Source organism: Homo sapiens, chromosome 18, assembly GCF_000001405.40.
Source record: "Homo sapiens chromosome 18, GRCh38.p14 Primary Assembly".
NCBI lineage: Eukaryota > Metazoa > Chordata > Mammalia > Primates > Hominidae > Homo > Homo sapiens.
The window spans coordinates 42,492,672-42,516,448 of NC_000018.10; the positions used below are offsets into that span (position 1 = coordinate 42,492,672).

At 35.7% G+C, this 23,777-nt stretch overlaps 1 long non-coding RNA gene across 2 annotated transcripts in view; it reads left to right on the forward strand.

The window, feature by feature from the left end:
* Positions 1–23,777, forward strand: part of LINC00907 (long intergenic non-protein coding RNA 907) — a 504,759-nt gene that overhangs the window by 306,004 nt on the left and 174,978 nt on the right. Inside the window, exon 6 of one of the 2 annotated variants that reach the window (NR_046454.1) lies at positions 23,448–23,498. The exons of the other annotated variant lie outside the window; for it this stretch is intronic. This is a non-coding gene — a long non-coding RNA (long intergenic non-protein coding RNA 907). The remainder of the gene's footprint in view (positions 1–23,447; positions 23,499–23,777) is intronic. 2 annotated transcript variants of the gene reach the window in all.

A 23,777-nucleotide genomic window follows, 5' to 3' on the forward strand; every position in this document is an offset into this window, starting at 1 on the left:
GTAACTATGTGCCAGAGACTTTAAATACATATTTCAGTTGATTTACACAATGATCCTAAGTTGTGGGATTAATTATATGAATTCAAAGAGTAGAAAATTGAAGCTCAGGAAAGTTAGTGAGTTCAGCCAGCCATCAGGTAAATGGTAGATTTGAACAATGAACTGTCTTTCTTATTTCAAAGTCTGGACTTTTTCTCTAGATCGTACTGCTCCCTAGAAGTTTAATTCATGTTTATTGGATTTTTCTGTTTTCCTTCACTGGGAGGATAGGACTAAAGGAAGGTTGGAAGCCTCATGATGTTACAAATACTAAAGCCTCTTATGTTCAAATGATAAGGGTGGCAGGAACTGAGGAAGATAACAAGCTCAAACATGTAAAGCAGAATATGAGCTTTATCTTGTTCACCCTGGTATCCCCAGTAAATATCACAGCACTAGGACAGGATGGGTACTAAATACCTATATGTAGAACAAATGTGTGCTCTTACAGAAAAACAAAATAAAACAGAAAACAATAACAATAGCAAAACCCTTACTCTCCAGGAATGATAATGGCAGGTGGCATTTACCCAGCATGCACCAAACAACAGGCACTGTTCTAGAGGCTTCACTTGCATTGCCTCATTTAATCCTCACAACAATTGTATGAGGTTAAGTACAACTAATATTTCCATTTTACACATAGGGAAGGCTGAAACACATGGAAGATACAAAACTCCCATGCTACAAATATATAGCATAATTGAGATTTAAACCCAAGTAACCTGAATCCACAGTGCAACTACATCCTATGTCTGCTTTTTATTTTTATTTATTTATTTTTAATTGAGACAAGATCTTGCTCTCTCACCCAGGCTAGGGTGCAGCAGCATGATTCCAGCTCATTACAGACTAGACTTCCCTGGCTTAATTGAGTCTCGCCTCAGCCTCCCAAGTAGCTGAGACCACAAGCACACGCTACCACACCTGGCTACTTTTTGTATTTTTTCTAGAGACGAGGTCTCGCCATGTTGCCCAGGCTGGCCTAAAACTCCTGGGCTCCAGTGATCTCCCTGCCTTGGCCTCCCAACGTGCTGGGATTACAGGTATGAGCCACTGTGCCCAGCCATGTGCCCAGCCACTTGTATCTGTCTTATTAGTTATATGGCAGACAAGTCATAGGCACTTCAAACTTTTAACAATAATAAATGTTGAAAGTACAAGTTCAAAGTGACTATGAAGAAGAGATATATGTGATTTCATATATTAGTTCAATATTAATTTGCCATACTAGAAGTAAGAAATGATTGTGGAGAAAGAAATCACTTCTCACTCTCAAACTATGGAAGATAGCAGAGTTGGAACTTAGGTTATTGAAGGATAAGTGGGATTTGTATAAACAATGGAAAGTTAAGGCATATCTAGCCAGAGAAAACAGCATGAATAAATACACGAGAAACAAGCTCTAAATCCTATAAGGGCCTGCAAATTTTGGAAATGTTGGAGTGGACAATAGCAGTGGAAAAGTGGTTATGGGTGAGAGCAGGCTTAAGTCTACCTCATATGCAGTGAGGAATTCAATTTTCCACACATTAGGCACTCCTATTCATGGAACCTCCATCACAGGCAATATGAGGATTTTAACACCTCCAGGAAGGTATTAATATTCTAGTGTGCTATATGACCAATAACTCTAACATAATGTAAAGTAAGGTAAGTGGTCTAGCAAGCAAAGTGATGTGGAAGAAAAGAAGAACATGGGAGTTTAAAGAGGGAGATGCATATGGTTCTGAAGACTGTAGGAAAGGCTTCACAGATTATGCTGTATTTGGAGAACATCATTTGGTTTGTTAATGTATCATATGTTATGTGATGAGGAACGATGGTAAATGACACTAGAAAGATCAGTTGAGATCATAGTGTGGAGAATGGCAAATGCCAAGTGTGAGGAACTTTATTTTATCAATAGCAAGTGAGTAGGTAGCCTTGATGGGTTGTGAAGAGCCTAGAATTACATTTCCATTTTAGGAAAATAAATCTGACAGTTATAATGGGACGAAGAATAATAGAGGGATTTGTAGGCTGGAATTAATGTTGGTGGTTATTCTAGAAGGTTGAGCTAGCGATAATGACATTTGCAGATAAGATAGTGGCAGTAGATATAGAAAGAAGAGGATGTGTGAAAGTACTTTGGCTACTAAAAAAATTGTTCTCAGTATAATGAGGACAAAAACAGGATTTGAGAGCAGGGAAATGGCAAAATCAAAAGTATATGACTTAGAAATTCTCTTGCTCTGTTCTGAATCCTTTAATATGTGCTGAGATTCAGAGAAAACAGGAATGGTGAAAGTTTAAGAGTTTAGGGATGGCAGATAGTATCTATAACATTTGCCTTCTTTTGAGCAGTCAGAAAGAAAGTTGATTGCATAATATAGGTGTGGGGACAAGGGAAAGCCATTTTTCCAAGATATTGTGTGAGAATAAATTAAACAATTCATCTTTTAAAAGGTGATATCACTGTATTCACTAGCAGAAATGCTACATAAATGTTATATTCGTTTTTTTCTCGGTCTACTTTAGCCATCAAAGTATTTTGCAGGGTAGACCTCATGTCTGGATAAACTAATATTGCCACTTCTCATATAATCTGTGCTGAAGGATCTCTTTCTTTTTTATAAAATTTTCTGCCCATCACTGACCAATACTGGAAATTCATACACAAAATAAAATGAATAAAAAACTGACATATAACTTCAAACCCCAATTTATTATTATTTCATTCAATAGACACCAAATTACTCCATTGGATTGCTAAAAAATTCTAAATTACTCCATTGAATAGCTATAAAACTTTCTAAATAGTTTCAATCTCTGAGCTTGTCTCATCCTATCAGTAACAAACATCTCAGGCACCAGCACCTCCCTGCACTGCCCATGCTTCCCATCACTCTGGTGTTTTCATTGCTACAATGTGATTTCAGAGATTTTAGAAAGACTCTGAGGTTCTCTTTCATCCTGTTCTAATACTCTAATTCTACTTTGCCTATCTTCTGCATATTTTGAGGGAAAATATTACACTTTTTGCCATCTATATTTTTAGCTTAAGGAATAAGTGAAAACCCACATACCTTTGCAATGACACATACTTTGTACCACCCTCATGTATACTTTGCTGAGAAGAAGTGTAATTAATGACTGATGGATAAAAAGAAAACAAGACAATGCCACTACCCTACACAAGCAAACACTCAAGCCTGTGTTGCTTTTTCACTATCTACCAAATTATCTTTCAGCCTTTTCCTTCTTATGTTACTTCCATTTAACAAGCTCCCCATTTTCCCCCACTTATTAGAATTTTATCCTACTTAAATGCCTCAACCAAGTCCTAGCTCCTTCATGAATACAACCATGGCCCAATGCAACTCATAATCATCTCACCCTTCTCTGACATTTTTAGATTGACTATATTCTCACTTGGTATTATTTGTAATATATTGCCTAGTGCTTTTTCTTGCTCAATTATTATTTTCTCTATTAAAAAATACATATTTCCTACACATATTTAAAATTTTCTTTTTACATACATATATGCACACAGAGGAACAATATTAATAATAAATCAAACAACTTTCAAAGAACAACCAGGTAAGAAAAAAAAATTACTAAGAGTATGCAGAAGCCCCCGCATGCATCAGCATTTACATCCTCCTACCTTTACCCAAGAGACAACTGATATCCTGATCTTTGTCATAATTAATCTCTTTCTTTTCTGGATAACTTTTCTACCAATGAAAATATTTACAAATGAATTATTAAATATGTACAAATATACGCACATAAATTTATGTATATATTTTAAAATATAAATATATTCCTATCATTATATAAGTATACATACATATATATGTACTGTGTATATTTACATATTTTAACAGTTCTGTTTTTTATGCACCTAATAGGAATTAAATCATGCTGTAGGCATTGTTCTTTCCTCAGTGTTGTATTTATTATATTAATCCACGTTAATTTGGGTGGCTTAGGTCATTTACTTTCACTACTCTATAGAAATTATGTGCATGAATACATAATTTACTATCTATTATATTGTGGATGAATTTTTGGTTGTTTCCAAACCAAATTTTTGCTGTTGTATACAATGATTCTGTAGACACACGTGCAATTTCTCCTGGTACACATGAAGTATTCTATAGTATAGAACCATGGGTGAGATTGCTGCATTGCAGGGCATGAGCATGTTTCATTTAACTAGATAGTGCCAAACTTTTATCACATTAGTTGTACCAATTTATACCTTCTCCAGCAGTGTATGACAGTTCCCATTGATCCATAGACTAGACATCATTTGGTGTGATAGATGTTACTAGCGCCCATCAATATTTCCGGGACACCTCTTCTTTCAGGGGACAACAAGGCTGATCACAATTCCTCACCTCTTTAAAGCTAAGCAAAAGCATGTGACCATGTGACTTAGTCTTTTCTTTGGACAATGGCATTCATTTCTGGACAGAAGCATTGAAAGACCTTGTAATTCTCCATGTTCTTTTCCTTCTGAGACAAGTCCAGATGGCAGTGTCACAATATGGTGAAACTTCTTTCAACCTTATTTACCATAGCTTTATAATGAGCTGTGATAGATAATGAGTCCCCAACCTCAATCTCTCTCTTTAAAACATTTGTCTGTTCTTGATCTTTGACCTTACAAATATATTTTAGGATCAATTTGTCAAATTCCATGGTTAAGTCTGTTGGAATTTAGATTAGAGTAACAGTGAACTTATAGGTCAATATGGAAGAGAACTGAAATCTTTACAGTATTTTATCTCCTAATGTAGAATCCAAGAACAGAGAATTTTCCTTTTTTTAGGTCTCATTTAGTGTTTTTCAATCAGGTTTTATAATTTTCTTCATAAAGTGTTTGCAACACGTTTGGTAGTTTTGTCTTAAGGTACTTCATATTTTTGATGCTACTGTTAAGTGCTAATTTTTAGATTTTTCTTTTTTTTCTAGGTATTTGTTTTTAACATATAGTTATATAATTTATTTTCTTGTGGAATAATGGAATAATTTTGTGCCAGCAAGCTTGTTAAATTTTCCTATTAATGTCAACATTTTACTTGCAGTCTCTTTTGGGCTTTTTAATACAACAAATATATTACCAATAATTGTCCTTTGTTCTTTCCAGACTTTATGCCTTTTATTTTAATTTTTTAAATTCATTGTTATACTGGCTAAATAGAAGTTGTGATAAAAGTCATATCACAAAGGATTTTCCTCAAAGAAAATGCTTTCAGTGCAGCTACATAAATCATAATAATACATTTGTTTTATGAGGTTTTCCTTCTTCTTTCTCTCTCTGTCTCTGTCCTTCCTTTCTAGATACCTGTATCAGGGTAAAAAATTTTCTCCTTTTCATAGTTGACCAAGATTTTTTTCACTGTGAATATAGGTTGGTCTCTAATAAATATTTCTCCAGATTTTTTTGAAGAGGTCTTATAATCATTTTTAATTGTGTATTCAGTAATTCATATTAATTTTAACTAACATAAATTAATTAATGTTAAATCAACCTTTAATTGTTATGATAACCCAACTTGGTCATAGTTTTCATTCTTCTCATGTCTTGTTATATTCAGTTCATTAACAATTTGCCTTAGATAGTAGTTATATTTATAAGTCATTTTGGGCATATTTTTCATTCACATAATCTCCTTGCCAAGATTTTGTATCAAGCTAATTCTAGACCAGCAGCTCTCATCTGGGACTTATTTTTGCCTCCCAGGTATCACTTGGCAATACCCAGAGATACTTTTGATTGTCACAACTTGTGGTGAAGGTACTACTGGCATTTAGTGAGTAGAAGTCAGGAATGGTGATAAATATCCTATATTGTACAGGACAGCATTCCAAAACAGATCATTATCTGGCCAAAAATGTTAATAGTGAGAAATACTGTTCTATCTTCATAAAAATTGCATAATCTAAAATTGAAATTACATGTTTTATAGACCTCACCAATGAAAACATAGAGGCTATATCATATAAAGATACCATCTCACACCAGTTAGAATGGCATACGTAAGAGTTTTTTTGTGAAAATATGTTTGACCTTCTGTTTTTTAATGGTTATAGAACAGGTTAGGTTTCTTTTGGGGGAAGTTTTAGTAAATCATATTTTCCTGATAATTTGTTTGTTTCATCTAATATTTAAAATTTATTGTCTAAAGATGTTTATTCTATAGCTTAAGAACTTTTAAATATCTACAGTACCTGTAGTGATGTCTGCTTTTTATATTTCATATTTTTTCATTTGTCCCTAATATGTTTTTGTTTGTTTGCTTCTCTTGTCAATATAACTAAAGTTTCTCTGTTTTATCAGTTTTTCAAAAAACTGTGGATCTTTTTTTGCATATTTATTTTCCATTTCATTGTCTTTTTACTTATGTTTATTTCCTGTTTACTATCCTTTTAAGGTTAATTTTTCTGTTTTTTAAAAGTTCTTAAGATAGATACTTGGTTCACTAGAGTTAAAACGTTATATTTTCTACTATAAGTATTTTAAGGCTATAGCTCTCCCTCTGGTTTTTCTTATAGTTGCATGCTATTTATACTTATACATTTTTAGTGAGCTTGAAAATATTATGTGTTCCGTAACTGGTGTATAGTATCAACTATATCTCGGTAGCTCCAGTATATACTAATTATACTATTAAAGTCTTCTACATCATTAACTCTTTTTTGTGATTTATATAAAATACATGTTATCTCTCATTGTGATTGTGAATTGCCAATTTCTTCTTGAAGATATCTCAGTTATTTCTATACATATTGAGACTGAATTATTAGTTAAATTTTAAGTTTCAGATTATATCTCCTTAAACTGATAAGCAACTTCAGCAAAGTCTCAGGATACAAAATCAATGTGCAAAAATCACAAGCATTCCTATACACCAATAACAGACAAACAGAGAGCCAAAACATGAGTGAACTCCCATTCACAATTACTATAAAGAGAAAAAAATACCTAGGAATACAACTGACAAGGGATGTGAAGGACCTCTTCAAGGAGAACTACAAACCACTACTCAAGAAAATATGAGATGGCACAAATGGAAAAGCATTCCATGCTCATGGATAGGAAGAGTCAATATCATGAAAATGGCCATACTGCTCAAAGTAATTTATAGATTCAGTGCTATTCCCATCAAGCTACCATTGACTTTCTCCACAGAAGTGGAAAAAACTACTTTAAATTCCATATGGAACCAAAAAAGAGTGCACATAGCCAAGACAATCCTAAGCAAAAAGAACAAAGCTGGAGACATCACGATACCCGATTTCAAACTATACTACAAGACCACAGTAACAAAAACAGCATGGTACTGGTACCAAAACAGATATATAGACCACTGGAACAGAACAGAGGCCTCAGAAATAGCACCACACATCTGCAACCATCTGATCTTCGACAAACCTGACAAAAACAAACAATGGGGAAAGGATTCCCTATTTAATAAATGGTGTTGGGAAAACTGGCTAGCCATATGCAGAAAACTCAAACTGGATCCTTCCTTACACCTTACACAAAAATTAACTCAAGGTGAATTAAAGACTTAAACGTAAGACCTAAAACCATAAAAACCCTAGAAGAAAACCTAGCCAATACCATTCAGGACATAGGCACGAGCAAATACTTCATGACTAAAACACCAAAAGCAATGGCAACAAAAGCCAAAATTGACAAATGTGATCTAATTAAACTAAAGGGCTTCTGCACAGCAAAGAAACTATCATCAGAGTGGACAGGCAACCTACAGAATGGGATAAAATGTTTGCAACCTATCCATCTGACAAAGGGCTAATATCCAGAATCTACAAATAACTTAAACAAATATAAAAAAAAAAACCTGGGAGGCAAAAATAAGTCCCAGATGAGAGCTGCTGGTCTAGAATTAGCTTGATACAAAATCTTGGCAAGGAGATTATGTGAATGAAAAATATGCCCAAAATGACTTAGAAACATAACTACTATCTAAGCAAATTGTTAATGAACTGAATATAACAAGATATGAGAAGAATGAAAACTATGACCAAGTTGGGTTATCATAAAAATTAAAGGTTGATTTAACATTAAATCAAAAAGTGGGCTGTGGATATGAACAGACACTTCTGAAAAAAAAACCCATCAAAAAGTGGGCTATGGATATGAACAGACACTCAAAAGAAGACATTTATGCAGCCAACAAAAATATGAAAGAAGAGCTCATTATCACTGGTCTTTAGAGAAATACAAATCAAAACCACATTGAGATACCACCTCACACCAGTTAGAATGGCATTCATTAAAACAACAGATGCTGGAGAGGATGTGGAGAAATAGGAACGCTTTTACAGTGTTGGTGTGAGTGTAAATTAGTTCAACCATTGTGGAAGACAGTGTGGTGATCCCTCAAGGATCTAGAACTAGAAATACCATTTGACCCAGCAATCCCATTACTGGGTATATACCCCAGGGATTATAAATCATTCTACTGTAAAGACACATGCACACATATGTTTATGCGGCACTGTTCACAATAGCAAAGACTTGGAACCAACCCAAATTCTGAACAGTGATAGACTGTATAAAGCAAATGTGGCACTTATACACCATGGAGTACTATGCAGCCATAAAAAGGATGAGTTCATGTCCTTTGTAGGGGCATGGATGAAGCTGGAAGCCATCATTCTCAGCAAACTAACACAAGAACAGGAAACCAAACACCTCATGTTCTCACTCATAGGTGGGAGTTGAATAATGAGAACACATGGACACAGGGAAGGGAACATCACACAATGGTGCCTGTCAGCAGGTGGGGGGCTAGGGGAGGGATAGCACTGGGAGAAATACCTAATGTAGATGACGGGTTGATGGGTGCAGCAAACCACCATGGCACATGTATACCTATGTAACAAACCTGCACGTTGTGCACATGTACCCCAGAACTTAAAGTATAATAATAAAAAAATTATTGTACTTATGGGTGAATTTAACTTATTGTTATTAATATTATGAACTACCTATATCTAGTAATGCTTTTGCTTAAAAGTATATAGTGATAGGAAAAACATTCCTATCTGTTTACCCAGCCACTGCGCCTGGCCTATTTCGTTAAGTTTTAAACTTATTACAAATCATAGGTGGTTGGATTCTTTTCAGTTTGGTTGATTTTTTTGAATTAACTGTTTATTACTTTAATTGGAATATAATATTTGATATATTGGAATTTGGATCAAGCATCTTATTTCAAGCTTCCCATTGCCAAAATATTTTGTGCCACGTTTTCCTTCCTTTCTGCTTTTTGGAATTGTTGAGATTAATTTTTTCCTTTCATGTTTGCTGCTAGCAGCTGGGAAGTATTGTATTGATTTATTTAGTAGTTACCCTAGAAATTGAAACATACTTTACTTAGGAAAAGTCTAAAATTGTTCAGTATCATTAGCATCCTTCTAAATAATAGAGGACTTAAAAACATATAAACTACTTTTAGCCATCTCCTGACTTATCCTCTAGTGATTTTGTACTTTTTTTTTCTTTTTCTGAGATGGAATCTCACTCTGTCTCCCAGGCTGAAGTGCAGTGGCATAATCTCAGCTCACTGCAACCTCCACCTCCTGGATTCAAGCAGTTCTTCTACCTCAGCCTCCCAAGTAGCTAGGATTACAGGCATGCACCAGCACACCCAGCTAATTTTTGTATTTTTAGCGGATACGGGGTTTCACCATTTTGGCCAGGCTGGTCTCAAACTCCTGACCTCAGGTGATCTGGCCGACTCAGCCCCCCAAAGTGCTGGGATTACAGGCATGAGACTTTGTGCATTTTATAAGCCAATATCATCAAACATGACTATGTTAAGCAGTTAATGTTTGTTTAAATTCACTAACAAATTTATCACATTAGTGTCCATCATTTTTTTCATCTCAGATTTGATTGTCCATCTGTTATCACTTTGCTCATTATATACTATTTACTATTTATTTATTTATCTTTAGTCAGGATCTGTTGATGTAAATTCAGCTTACATGTTTCAGAAAATATCTTCATATTGCTATGATAAGATATTTTTACTCGGCATAGAACTTTTGGTTGACATTCCTTTTTTCTCTGGGCATATTGAAGATATTATTCCACTGTGTTTAACTTTTAGTTTTGCCAATGAGATGTCAGCTGTCAATGTGTTATTTCCTGGAAGATAATTTCTCTTTCTCTCTTTCTCCCTAGCTGTTTTTTCTCTTTATCATTGGAGTTTTGTGTTTTTATTCTATTATGTTTATATTGTTTAGTATTCATTAGATTTGTTAAAGATATATATAGATACACACACACACAAACACATATAGGTACACATACACACACATATAGATGTCTTTCTTCGATTCTGGAGAATTCTCAGCCATTTTTATTAAAATATTGTCTCTGCCACTTTTTCTTTTCTTCTCTGGAATAAACATAGATATTTTTCTCTTTAGCCTCTGTGTATCTTAGAGTCCTTTTATATTTTCCATCATTCTGCCTCCTTTTACTTTATTCCTGATAATTTCTCAGATCCCCGCTCCACTTTGATAATTTTCTCTTCTGTTTTGCACACTAATGTTTTAAGTTTCAAATAATGTATTTTTTAATTTCTGCAATTTCTATTTGCTGCTGCAAAATCTTCTGTGTTTACATGTGCCATGCTGGTGCGCTGCACCCACTATGTATACATATGTAACTAACCTGCACAATGTGCACATGTACCCTAAAACTTAAAGTATAATAAAAAAAATAAATAAAATAAAAAAAATCTTCTGTGTTTTTCTTCAAGGATGTTTGTTCTCTGCACATATTCAAGCTTGCATTTTATTTTGTCTTAAAATTAAGCAGTTATTTTTTACTTTACCTACTGCCTAGTTATTTTGCTTTTGGTTATATTTTATTTTGACTTTAGAATGTACATTTGGTTTTGTATGCTTCTATTTCTTTATTGAAACTTCCTGTTACTTAAGTTGTTGTTATCACATCTTTCCTTTAATTCACTCAATATAGTTTTCTTTAATTCTTTTACTAAATTTATGATAATTGCTTAAAATCTTTGCCTGCTAAATTCATTATTTGTGTCCCCTTGCAGTTAAATTTATAATGGCTGATTTTTCCCTGAGCGGTGTAGATCATTCTTTTTATTTCTTTGCCTGATATATACGCACTTTGCTAACTGGACAAACCTAGTCAACCAGGAATGTGTGAAGAGCTTATCTCATCTCTTCTGTGGCTCTCACAGGATCACCCCATTAAATATATGATGGCCCACTGCCCACCCCCATCAGCATCATAAACTTTGGCTCGCAGAACTGTAGGTTTTTCTCATTTGTTTGGTAGCAAGTTTGTTACTTTCACTGACAACACTACTGTGCATGTTCACCCTCCATTTAAAATTGGGCCTACCCTTGCTGGAAGACACAGCCCTAGTTTTCCTGGCCAGCCCACGCTGGTAACTCTACTGTTTTTGTTGCAGGAGGTGGTAGAGGGTGGATGGCAGCAGCTCCATGCAAAAGAATTGTAGACTCTGCAGCTCCTACTCAAAGTTCTAGCAACTTCTCATGACTAGCCAATGCTCAGGTTTTGTTGTTTTTCTTTGATAAATTGCCAGAGCAGCAAAATGGTTGTTTTGACCATTTGGACCAATTTGACTATTGCTTTTAGGGGTGGTAATTCACCATAATCTTCATTCTACCATAGTCTTACATTAGATATCAAAGTTACTGTAAAAGTAAATAGTTATTCTGTAAACTCATTCTAGTTATTTCTAGATCTGAAATCTTTACAGTTCTTTTAAAACCCTCTGTTCATTTCTGCTGGTTCTTGCTCATGGTATCTTGTATATTTAAAAAATGTATTTTTGGCCGGGTGCAGTGGCTCACGCCTGTAATCCCAGCACTTTGGGAGGCCGAGACGGGCAGATCACGAGGTCAGGAGATCGAGACCATCCTGGCTAACACGGGGAAACCCCGTCTCTACTAAAAATACAAAAAATGCAAAAAATTAGCCGGGCGTGGTGGTGGGTGCCTGTAGTCTCAGCTACTCGGGAGGCTGAGGCAGAAGAATGGTGTGAACCCGGGAGGCGGAGCTTACAGTGGGCCAAGACCGTGCCACTGCACTCCAGCCTGGGCAACAGAGCGAGGCTCCATCTCAAAAAAAAAAAAAAATGAACTTTTGTCTTTTAAATATTTCTTGGAGGAAATTATTTGAGGCCTTAGATGAAGATTGTTTCTTCCAAAGAAGATTTGCTTTTGCTTTTATTGGATATCTGAAGGCACTACCAGTCTAGTGCTACTCAGAGTTAAGTTTTTGCCTGAGGTATTTATGATTCATGAATGGTATGAATTTGGGATATAAATCTATGTAAGGGCTGATTTGCACATCCTGGTTTCAGTGAGTATTTTCTCCATTCTGCTCTTCATCAGTGCTGATAAGTGTTTACCCTCAAGGTGGATGGGAAAAGGGTTTGGTTACCATGCCAACTTACAGTGTGGATGTAGTTGTGTGGGCACCTCCTTTTAGATTCTAAACTAGGGTAGATTCTGGACTTGTTGTTTTCTGTTCAGTCTATAAGATCCATCTATAGGATCTAAAGTTCAGCAAATTGGCAAATGGTAAAAGCCGACTTCAAGTTCTCTTTTTAATTCTTTGAGTTCTTATTTTACTCTTTTCTTTTTGCATAAGAGTATCTTACACTTTTGTGACATCTTGGATGAATTTTAGAAACTGTGTATGTATTTGTATTTGTAGTTATAATCCAGGATTTTTACTGTGTCAGTGGCAGGATCAATGCAACTCTCTACTCTACCATATTATTGGAGTCTTGCCTTTTCTACAAAAGGAAAAGCAAATGAAAAGATCTATGTTTTTAACTACTCACCTAAAATGCCTAGTATAATCTCTTATGTGTAATTGACATTCAGTATACATTTTAAAATACAAGAACTCTTTTTACTTCTTATAGTCAGCAAAATATAACTTTAACATCAATGTATAATGTATTTTATTGTAGATAATCTAGTGTCACTTTTACATGATTCTTAAATGGCCTCATGAACATTTCTATCATAAGCACTTATAGCCTCTGCTTCTGTTTGTGAATAACTCCAGTGATCTGTAACTCCTTTCCTTCTTTAGGGGCCAGTTCTATTTCTAGTCTGTTCTACTTTTTGGGAAATTCCATTTATGCTGATCTGAAAAACCCTGTAAGAAAGATGTGATATACATAAATATCTGCATTTCAAAGCAATGCATACATGCAATTGGTAAGATAAGAACTAAGTGCAGAGGCCAGAGAAGGCCCATTCTGGTTGAGATGATTAAGAAAAGTACAGTGGAGAAAGGATGAAGTTTGGTATTAAAAGATAAAAGGGACTTCAATAGAGAAGACAGACACAGAAAGGGCAGGTCAATGAGTGAAAGCAGTGGAAGAGTGTAGTGGTAGAAAAATGTTACTCATGTTTGGAAAATTTTAAGTAATGTGAAAAATTTTGTGTAGGGTAAAGTTAGAAAGGTAGTTCCAACTCTTCTGGAATGAACTTCATAGAGAACTTCAAAAGTTTCCAAAAATTGTTGTTGTTGTTTCTTACAGTAGAAGGGTCTGCTTTAATAATACTAATTACCTATTGCTGTATAAAATACATTAGATCATTGAGAGTCTGAAAGCAAGAAAATGTATTAGGCATAGTTATCGAAGTCTGAGCTTGAAGTTAGCAAAAATTGGATAGAGGCACTTGTACTGAGAATTGAAGTAAAGAAATGGATTTAGGAAATACCATTGTAGAGGACATGTCTTGAATCCTCATTAGATGTAGAAAGGATAAAGAGAAAAAACAGTAAAATTTAACTGGGATTCTGGGAGGAGTAACAAGAAAACATATTGTCTCACAGCTAGAGAATATAAACTTGGAAATATTTTGAGAGTGACGATGATGAATTCAGCTTTTAGATATGCTGAGTTAAAGACACATAGATGAGAATGTCCACTTCTTCTGTAAGAAGACATATAAGACTGTAATCCATGACAGAGGTATGTCTAAGATGAAATGCTTGGGAATCCTCTATATGGACATGATAGATGAAGCCAAAGAGAACAATGAAATGAGTCATGTCAAGTTATTTGATACTTAAAAAAGTATATAAGTATTTTAGTAGTGTGACCACTTGTGTCTGGAAATTTTGAAAAGCACAAAGATCTACGATGATTTATTTAACTCTACACTGATCAGTAGGAAGCTTTTGACATGGGGAATTGTGCTAGTGAGTATTTGGAAGCAAGAAGTGTATTCAGCAAGGATTTACAAGATCATTAGACTTTCATTTTGCAGATTCAATCAGATCTGTTCAATATACTCTCCTGTTGGCATAATTGGTTTCCTGAGGACTTGCTACATGTAGATGCACAGTTTTGCATTCCAGCAATGTTCTGCATTCCTTCTGGACTCTCTTGTTTTGAGGATCCCTTTAAAGAGCTAAAACTTCAGGAACTTCTTCTACTTGTTTCTTCAAAGTCAGGATGAGAGACAGAATAGAGCGTACAGCCATAATGGTTTTTCCCTAGGTTCTTCTCTCATACTAAGCTCTTTATGGTACGATGTGCCTCTCAAAAAGAATGCAAATCTAATAGCATTGCACCACTCTGAAAGAAGGATGAGGAGAAGGCAGAAGAGCTGCAAAGAGAAAAACAATCCTGATACTTTTATTATTCTCATCAGAGGAGCATATTTTCTAGAGTAACCTAATTTTGTATCTTTGGTTCTTGGCAGATAGTAATGTCCTGGGCTCCTGGAAGTAGAAGGTAGATGGATATAGAGATAATAGGGATACAGATAGAGATTGAGAGATATTACTTACCTGTATGACTATGTGTTAGGGAAATAGCAGTGTTGAGAAAATGTATCGGTTGATGCTGTGAGTAAGTAGTTGACAAAATTGGCTGCCTCTTGGAGTAATTTGCATAGCTCTTCAAACAATAATCACATGGACGACATTTCTGAAGAGTCTAACTCAGTAGGTCTAAACAAGGGTACTCCCTGTGGACAAGGTCTTGCCTTGTCCACAGGGAGTACATTCCAAGACCCTCAGTGGATGCATGAAACTATGAATAGGACTGAGACAATATGTACTATGCATTAACTTCTTTTTCCTTCTTCACAGTTTCATGGATAGTAGAAGATTTGTTCTTATGTGGATCTTAGCAACATCAGCATTTGATGTTTTTTCTTTCCTTATTAAGTTGAGGACATTCACTTTTTCATGTAAAGAAAGCACTTAGCAACTTCTCTTTGGCATATCTGAATTGCTAGCATCACTACTCTTGTGCTTTGGGGACATTATTAAGTAAAATAAGGGTTACTTAAATACAAACACTGAGATACCTACAGTGTTAATCTGATAAATGAGACAGCTACTAAGTGACTAACGGGCAGATAGAATAGACAGCATGGATATGCTGGACACAGACGATTCTCATCTCAGGCGGGATGGAGTGGAAAGGAGAAGGACTTTGTGAGATTTCATCACACTACTCAAAATGATTCACAATTCAAGACTTAGAAAGTGTTTATTTCTGGAATTTTTCATTAATATTTATAAGCTGCAGTTTACCACAGGTAACTGAAACCGTGGGAAGAAAAACCATGGATAAGCAGAGGACTCCTGTAGGTGTCTAAGATACACACAGAATAAACCAGTCTACCTGACAAACAAGCTTCCCAAGTGATTCTGAGGGGCAGGGCTCCTGTTAACTTATATGGCATCTTTGTACAATTAGAGAGGTACATGATCCTCCATCACCAGGGCAGATACAACCTTATACCAAGATGCAGAACTTGGTGAGTACAGTATTGACTAGATTTAAAGTCTCATCTGCTTCCTCCTTGACACAGGACTGAGTGCCTGTGTACAGTGCATACATTGTACAACCAACAGTATCAGCCCTGCTCATGGGCACTAGTTGTCAGATCTGCATCTAAAAGTCACTAAATATTAACGAGTTTCAAATATAAAAATCCCCTATGTCTTCCCAAATATCAGACATAGTCTTGGGATTAAATTCCCATTGGCAGTGGAAAATATCTTTTTCTGTGTCGCTGTGCACAGAAAACTGTGTACCCTGACTATTCTAATTGCTAGTCCACAGTTCATTGTCTCCTGAGATACACCCTGGGAATGCTCTCTTACTCCTGCCAGCCATTTATCCTAAGATTAACCTCTCTCAAGAGATAAAGAGGAGTTCATTGGCCTTATTTAAATGGACTTGCAAAATCAACTTATATTTTGTTTAATTTGTAGGACACCCACAATGGACTCACTGTATTATATTGTCCCATTACTTTGTCAGGTGCAGGTAAGCTCAGCAGGAATCATGCTTAAAGTGATTTACTAGCACTGCCAAGAGAAAATGAAAGAAGAGTGGACACTTGTACTATTTTCAGCCAGTGATACCAGCTGTTCCTGAGGGAGATAAAGGTGGCCCATGCATCAACCACGTAGTGATGTTGCTAAGTCATGGGTCACCTTTAGGTTGATGTTATAAAAAGGATTATCTTATATTTGCAAGTAAGTGATAATGCTTATATTTGCTTCTACTCAACCTGCCTCATCTGTGAGAGAATATAAAGGCCTGTGTCATGATAGTAGAAATGAAATGAGACTTGCTCAAGTTTTTCCAAATGTTCCCATGTTTTCCTCCATTGAGTCCTGAAACTCTGCCTTAAAGGATTGATTTCTGAATTATAAAGTATTCTAGATCATATTTCATTTGAAATAACTAAGGCCTAGAGGAGTGAATTGCCCAGGGCCATACAGCTGCTTGTCCACAAAGCTAAGGCAGAACTCCTTGATTCTAGTCCTATGTACATTTATTATGTCATGTTGCGTTTACCCCATTGCTTTTTGCTGGTATTCTGTTTAGCAATCAGATAATCTCAGGAGAGACCACAAAGTATGTTCTTAACACTTCAGTCTTAATGAGTTATAAACTTCATGATAAAAGAAATCAGAGTAAGACAGAAGAAACCAGGATAAGATATTATTGGCTTCTAAGAAACAAAAGGAGTAAAGGGGAAGAAAAGTTGAGGAAAGAGAGATTAAAACTGAAGCCTTGGAGTGACAGAGGGAATTTTTGTCCTACCTGATTTTCAGTTTTCTTTTGGGTCAAACTGGCCTTGTGAAATCAAAAGAGTTGTTCATTAAACTGCCTGCTTCCCAAGACCAGTGTATTATCACAGATAATAATATCTGTGAAGCTCTGTGTTACCAGTTCATTTTATTTCCATCCTTTTTATTGTGAGGAAGACAAACAATTGTGCTATCACCCAAGTAGACAATGTCATCTGTGAAAATGTGCTGCTTCCAGGAGTCAGGAATCGGTACTCTTTTTAAAAGAATTTTAAATCAGAGGAGACTGTCAACAATCACAAAGAGGAACTTTTTATTTCCTTGAGTTCTCACTACCTCTTCTAACATGCCACAGCAATCTTCATATAGCTGAAGGAAGTCAGGCATGAAATGGTGTTCTATTTAGTTTAATGGTTAACAGACAGCTTCAACAGCCACATTCAACACATTAGCCTTGTGTAGAAAGACTTGATAATTTTTAATAAGTTCAAAAAGTGTTTTCTATATAACCCTCCTGTATAGCAGAAGTATCCTTGACTGTCTTTTTCTTTTCATTGCCACAAAATATATTGCAGAGTGAGGTTTCATAATAGTGTTTTTCTAGCTTTTGATTTCACAAAGTGAGTAGCTCATGGCTCCATGGAGTTGAAAAAGAGAATTAAAAGGGAAGAACTTCCTCCAATTTTTGAAAAGATCTTAGCTATCTTCTAGTCCAAGTCCTTTTATTTGTTAAAGAAATCAAGTCTAGAAAAGTTGAGTGACTCCAGTGACTCAATTTATTAATGCATAGCTTATGTTTTCCTCCTTCCCTCATTTTCTCCTTTTTCCTTCATCCTTTCTTGCTTTTCTTCCTTCTCTTCTTCTTTTGTCCCACTTACCCTTTCATTTCCCTTTCTTCTTCCCTCCCCTCCTTCCTTCCTCTTTCCCTCTTTCCTTCCTTTTTATCTTCTGCTTCCCTTCCTGTGTTTCTTCTTAATGCTATGAGATTTTTTTTTACCTTTCTTTCAATTTCATATTTGTTCATTTTTTTTTCAGTCTGAAAGACTGCTTCTCTTCACACCTACACAGTGGCTATTTTCCTAAGAGATGAAATGCCGTTTTCCTAGAAAAGAAGAGAAAGCAGTGTATAATACCTGATTTTCTCTTACTTTCTAATTATTATGTTTCCTAGTCCCAACATGTCTAACTTCTAAGTTTAACTCTAAACTTTTAAGTTCTCAGGGCAACGTCTTTATTTTAGTATTCATTTATTTACCAGGTGAATAAATAGTTTGCTCTGAGATTATATTAAAACTTCATCTTCCATCTGATAGAATTAAGAAAACTCCAAGAAAGAGCATAATAATTATTGACTATTTTGACTACAACATGAAATACCTTGCAAATATGGATTCTTACAATTATTTTCCATGGATATTTCACATTATTACCTCATGTAAATCTTGTGATCATCTTCTGAGGGTAATATAAAGAATATGACATTATCTTAATTTTTGTAAATGCGAAAACATTTCTAAGATTTCACATGACTTGGTAAAGGTCACATGGCTCAGCATTAGACCCATATGGGAAACCAGACTTTCTAACACCCGGCTCAATATCCTTTCACTGTACCAAACACTTCTTCTCATGACAGTAACTTCTGTTTGGTTATGTACTTAATCAGGAGCTATGACAGAGAAACTGGGTTCAGAAAGAGTCTTGGGAGAGTAAGACATAGGACAGCACAGTGGAGGAGAATGGAAGAGAGGATTGCCTCATTTAACTTTAGGTCTGTACAGAGATAGTGGCAAGAGAGCAGAGAAGTACCTGGTTTATACAAGAGACTCCACATCATTATGAAACTGTAGGCTCGATTAGTCCAGAAAAATTGATTTCAAGGTTGGAGGTAAGCACCGTAGATAGCGTCAAAACAAGCAAAGGACTGAGGCAAAGGGAACCCATGATACAGATCAACGAATCTGACAGTGGGAAAAATAGTAACCAGGACAAATAAAATTATATAGTACTATGGAAGGATTGGATCTTTCTGCTTTTTGGTCTTAGGTAAATTGTCTATTCAAACAAATTTCCGTGTGTGTGTGTGTGTGTGTGTGTGTGTGTGTGTGTGTGTATAACTTATTTTCTTCTTTTGCATAATCTGAACGCATCAATGAAGGCCTTCCAAGGATGCAATATGGTCAGTTCCATGAATGATATCCTTGCATACTGCATTCTCAGATTCTTCTCATTCTAGGGCTCTGTGTCAGAAACTGTTGTGTGGAACAAGACCCACTAACTTGGGAGTTAACAAGTGTTTACTTGACTTTGCATTGGCATCTTATAGGCTATCATCTTGTAGATGAACAATTTGCTCCAAAATGACATGCCACAGCACTGCTTAAGATGCAAGTAACATTTTCCTTCACTTGGAGGGCCCATTTAACAAGATGATCTAAGGATATGGTTTCAGTGTATGCTATCTCATGAGCTATTACTGTAGGTTTATGTGACTAATTTTATTAAATATACAATAATTAATGTTTCCAAAAGGTAATAGTCTCTCTTTTAAAGTAACAATCATGGGAAGTTGTAAGCAAGTTTAAATAACATATTCATTTTGGGAACTCTTTTGGTATAATTTAAAAAATTTACCAGAGTGCTTTTATTGGAACTTGAACTGTAAGTGCCCACCTAATGCCTGTTGGTTAATATCACTTATATCATAGGATCATAATAAGAAGGAAAATGGATAAAGTTCTTCCAAAGAACCCCAGTGATTCTACTAAACCCTGTTCACCTCCTTTGTTGCAAGTCAGATAACACAGTTTCCGGCCTAAACTGTTTCATTAATTAACTGTGTAGCTTGAGACAAGTAACCACTCAATATCTTTATCTAAAAAATTGGATTACATGATCTCTTAGTTTCCTGCTAGCTCCATCAGTCTGTGTTTCTATGGTCCACTTGATGTCAAAGTCAGTATCAGGTTCACTTTGGGAAGGTGTGATCTATTTTTTTAAAGGTTGTCTAGGTTCACAAGTTTAATGGAACCCTGCCTGTACCCTGGAAATACTGCCTATGATGGTTAAGCTATTTTATAATATGCAGGTTTAAAGTTATCTAATAACTTCTCACAATATAAAATAACTTAAAAAGTTTTTTAAAAATTTTGAACATAAAGCAAATTTACAAACTTTAATTCCAGTGAGTAGAATTAAATCAGCAAATAAGTGGCTAATTGTATGTACTTATTGTCAACTGGGACTTCAGGAAAGAACACTGCCAAGCTATATGCTTTGGATAATACAAATAGTGTGGAAAGAAGGAGCAGGGGAGCAGAAAAAAAAATAAATAAGAATAATGGAATGATTGAAGAGTTTTGAATATCCAGAAGAACTATTCAAACAAATAGCACTGACACATTTTTAAACAATCATAGATAGATTCGAGTAAACATGAACAGAAAAATAAACATAAAGGAGAAAACTCATGAAGTGACAGTCTTTACATTTTTTTGTTCTAAAACATCATTGGGAATAAACACAAAAATGATATATAACTTGAATACTAACAGAGGTCATCATACGTAATGATAATAAAAAACAGCAAGACCAGTTTACCCACTCCCTGCCCTCCATTCTATGAGATGCCTCATGTCTTTTCTAAGACTTTGGGAACATTTCAAGGTCTTGTAATTTCCAAAAATTCCAGGGTTTTGCAGTTTCCTAAGAATGTCTGGCCTGGTGTCTCCCCTCCAGCCAAGCTTAGACAGCATTATAGTGCCCATCTGTTGGTGTAATCTCCTTCTTAAGCTTTGTGCTCACCCTCAATGTGGAGCTCAATCTCTTGATGTGGCTGTCTGCCAAAGCCATTCCATGAAATGTCTACATATACAAAATATGTGGGGAAATATAGAGTGTTCACGGCAACAACAACAAAAAAATTATAATGAAATCTTTCACATAGCTATTGTGGTGTTTTGGAGCCATGCCACCATTTTGGAGCTCTTTCTGTGGTTCTTGGGCATAAATTAAGCCCTCTCACTTTCAGGAAAGATCTCCCCCTGCTCAATTCCCCTTCCTCTAACTAGCTCCACTGAGGGTATATGTCCTCCCTTTAACAAGAATGCAGATTTTAACTTCATGTGGTTAGCGGTCAGGTTTTCCAATATCAAATAAAACCTTGCAGTGAGTTTAGAGAAGTTGATCAATAACAGCATTAGCTAAGTAAACAAAATAATATCCCAGACTGTTGAGTTTGGGAAATGATTTTTGAGTTTGCCTCCTGCAATCTTAACAACTGCACATGATTATCAGACCATGAAACTATTAGAATGCTTATTGTTTAAACGTTTCCCCTCCAACTGCACACAGATTTTATCTAGAGATGAATTTAAGCATGGAAACTTTAATACTGAAATGAAACACTAAACACAAAATGCAAAGAAGACAAACACTACCCATCTGAGGAGAACATGGCAGTAATTTAAAAGCACATGTTTTTGTCAAATAAATCTTTAGGCCAAAGTGCTAAAGTACTCTTGCATTCTTTGATCCTTTGCAAGAAGACTATATATGTCAGGAATGCCAATGACAACAGAAATAAATACATAGAAATATCTACATTATTATGCCTAAATTATCATTTGATTCTTTTAAAATGGTCTTGCCATGTTATATTATTTCTTAACACACCGAGATACATGCTACATTGGATTATAAATTACTTTGAATCTCGGAATTCAAATTTGCAAACTGCTGAGAGTTGTCAGACTGCTATGCTGATTAAATGAACAATCTAAACATTTGCATAAAGAAGAATTCCTAGGGCAATACTCAACTAGAAAACAACAACTTAGAATAACATGACTAAGAGCTGTGGGTGGGAATCACCACCAAGAAAGTGGCAATGCTGAGTCACAAATTTGGGGCTGCGGCTATGTATGAAAACCAGCAGGCAGGTATTAGAGAGAGTGAATGGTGAAAGAAAGGAGTTGGGAGGGAGGGAGTGAGACTTAGAGGGTAGAAGGAGAAGACTGGAGGATGAACATGATTCTGAGTGAGAACATAATTACCATGTAAGTGGTCACGGCCTCCCTTCCTCAAAAAGAATTTTGAGTGTCAGCATAGGTTCCCTTTCTTCTCACATCATTTCCCAACAATGTTGCCAGTATCTTCCTCTCTCCACTCATTTTCTATCCAAATAGTATATCAAGTTAGAGTGTCAACTTTTGATACATGGCACCTATTGGAGTTAGTTCAGTTGGCAAGACTAAGAAAGAGTTGAATAGCCTGTAATCCCAGCACTTTGAGAGGCTGAGGCAGGCAGATTATGAGGTCAAGAGATCAAGACCATCCTGGCCAACATGGTAAAACCCCATCTCTACTAAAAATACAAAAATTTACTGGGCGTGGTGGTACGTGCCTGTAGTCCCAGCTACTCAGGAGGCTGAGGCAGGAGAATCGCTTGAACCTGGGAGGCAGAGGTTGCAGTGAGCTGAGATTGCAGTGAGCTGGAGTATAAAAGTACTCCAGCCTGGTGACAGAGTGAGACTCCATCTCAAAAAAAAGAAAAAAAAAGAGTTAAATAATTCTCAAAAAATTCTTTAATTGGACTATGAAGTGAGTAAAAAAAAAATACAACAGCCTCAGGCCACCATAATTTTACCTGTGAAAGCCAGCAGCCTTAAATAAAAACAGGACTTAGAATAGAGCATCTGGACTGTTTGCATCTTTTGACACACCTGGAGTAGCTAATATCCTTTACCCCCGATGTTGATGCCTGCAATCTTAATGTTTCAAGGAAGAGTTAGAGTAAGAAATATGTGTGGCAATAAATCTGTGCTGTTTTTCATGGAGCTGCAACTAGGCATTCTTTTGCCAAAGGAAGAACAGAGTTAAGTTAGTTAAAATGGCTAATATTGACTAGAAATAAGGTTTTGTATTCTAGCAGGTGCTCTTTAAATTTGCCTACTTATACATTATAATTAATCATCTTCTGTAAAGAATCTATGTATTTCAAAATTGCAATCACCTTTATATATTTGCCTAATTTTATACAATATCAAATTATGGATTTTGTACACATTGTTCTCCAAAATTGCTAGACAGATGTGACAAAGGCAAAATTATAAAACTTAATCTATCTTAAATGGTCAAAAATGATTATGTTGTAGGTTTAATTGGAATTAGAGAAAGGGAATTTCATAAGTACACTATTGTCTTAGTTTGGGCTATCATAATAGAAAACCTTAGACTGGATAATTTATAAACAACAGACATTTATTTCTTACAGTTCTGAACACTGGGAAGTCCAAGAGCAAGGCAACAACAGATTCAACATCTGGTGAGAGCTACTCTCTGCTTACAAGATGGCACTTTCTTACTGCATTCTCACACAGAAGAAGAGACCAGTACTGTGTCCTACCATGGTGGAAAGGCAAAAAGGAGCCAAACAGGCTCCCTCAAGACCTTTTCTTTTCTTTCCTTTTTTTTTTTTTTTTTTTGAGACGGAGTCTTGCTCTGTCGCCCAGGCTGGAGTGCAGTGGCGCGATCTCGGCTCACTGAAACCTCCGCCTCCCAGGTTCAAGCAATTCTGCTGTCTCAGCTTCCTGAGTAGCTGGGA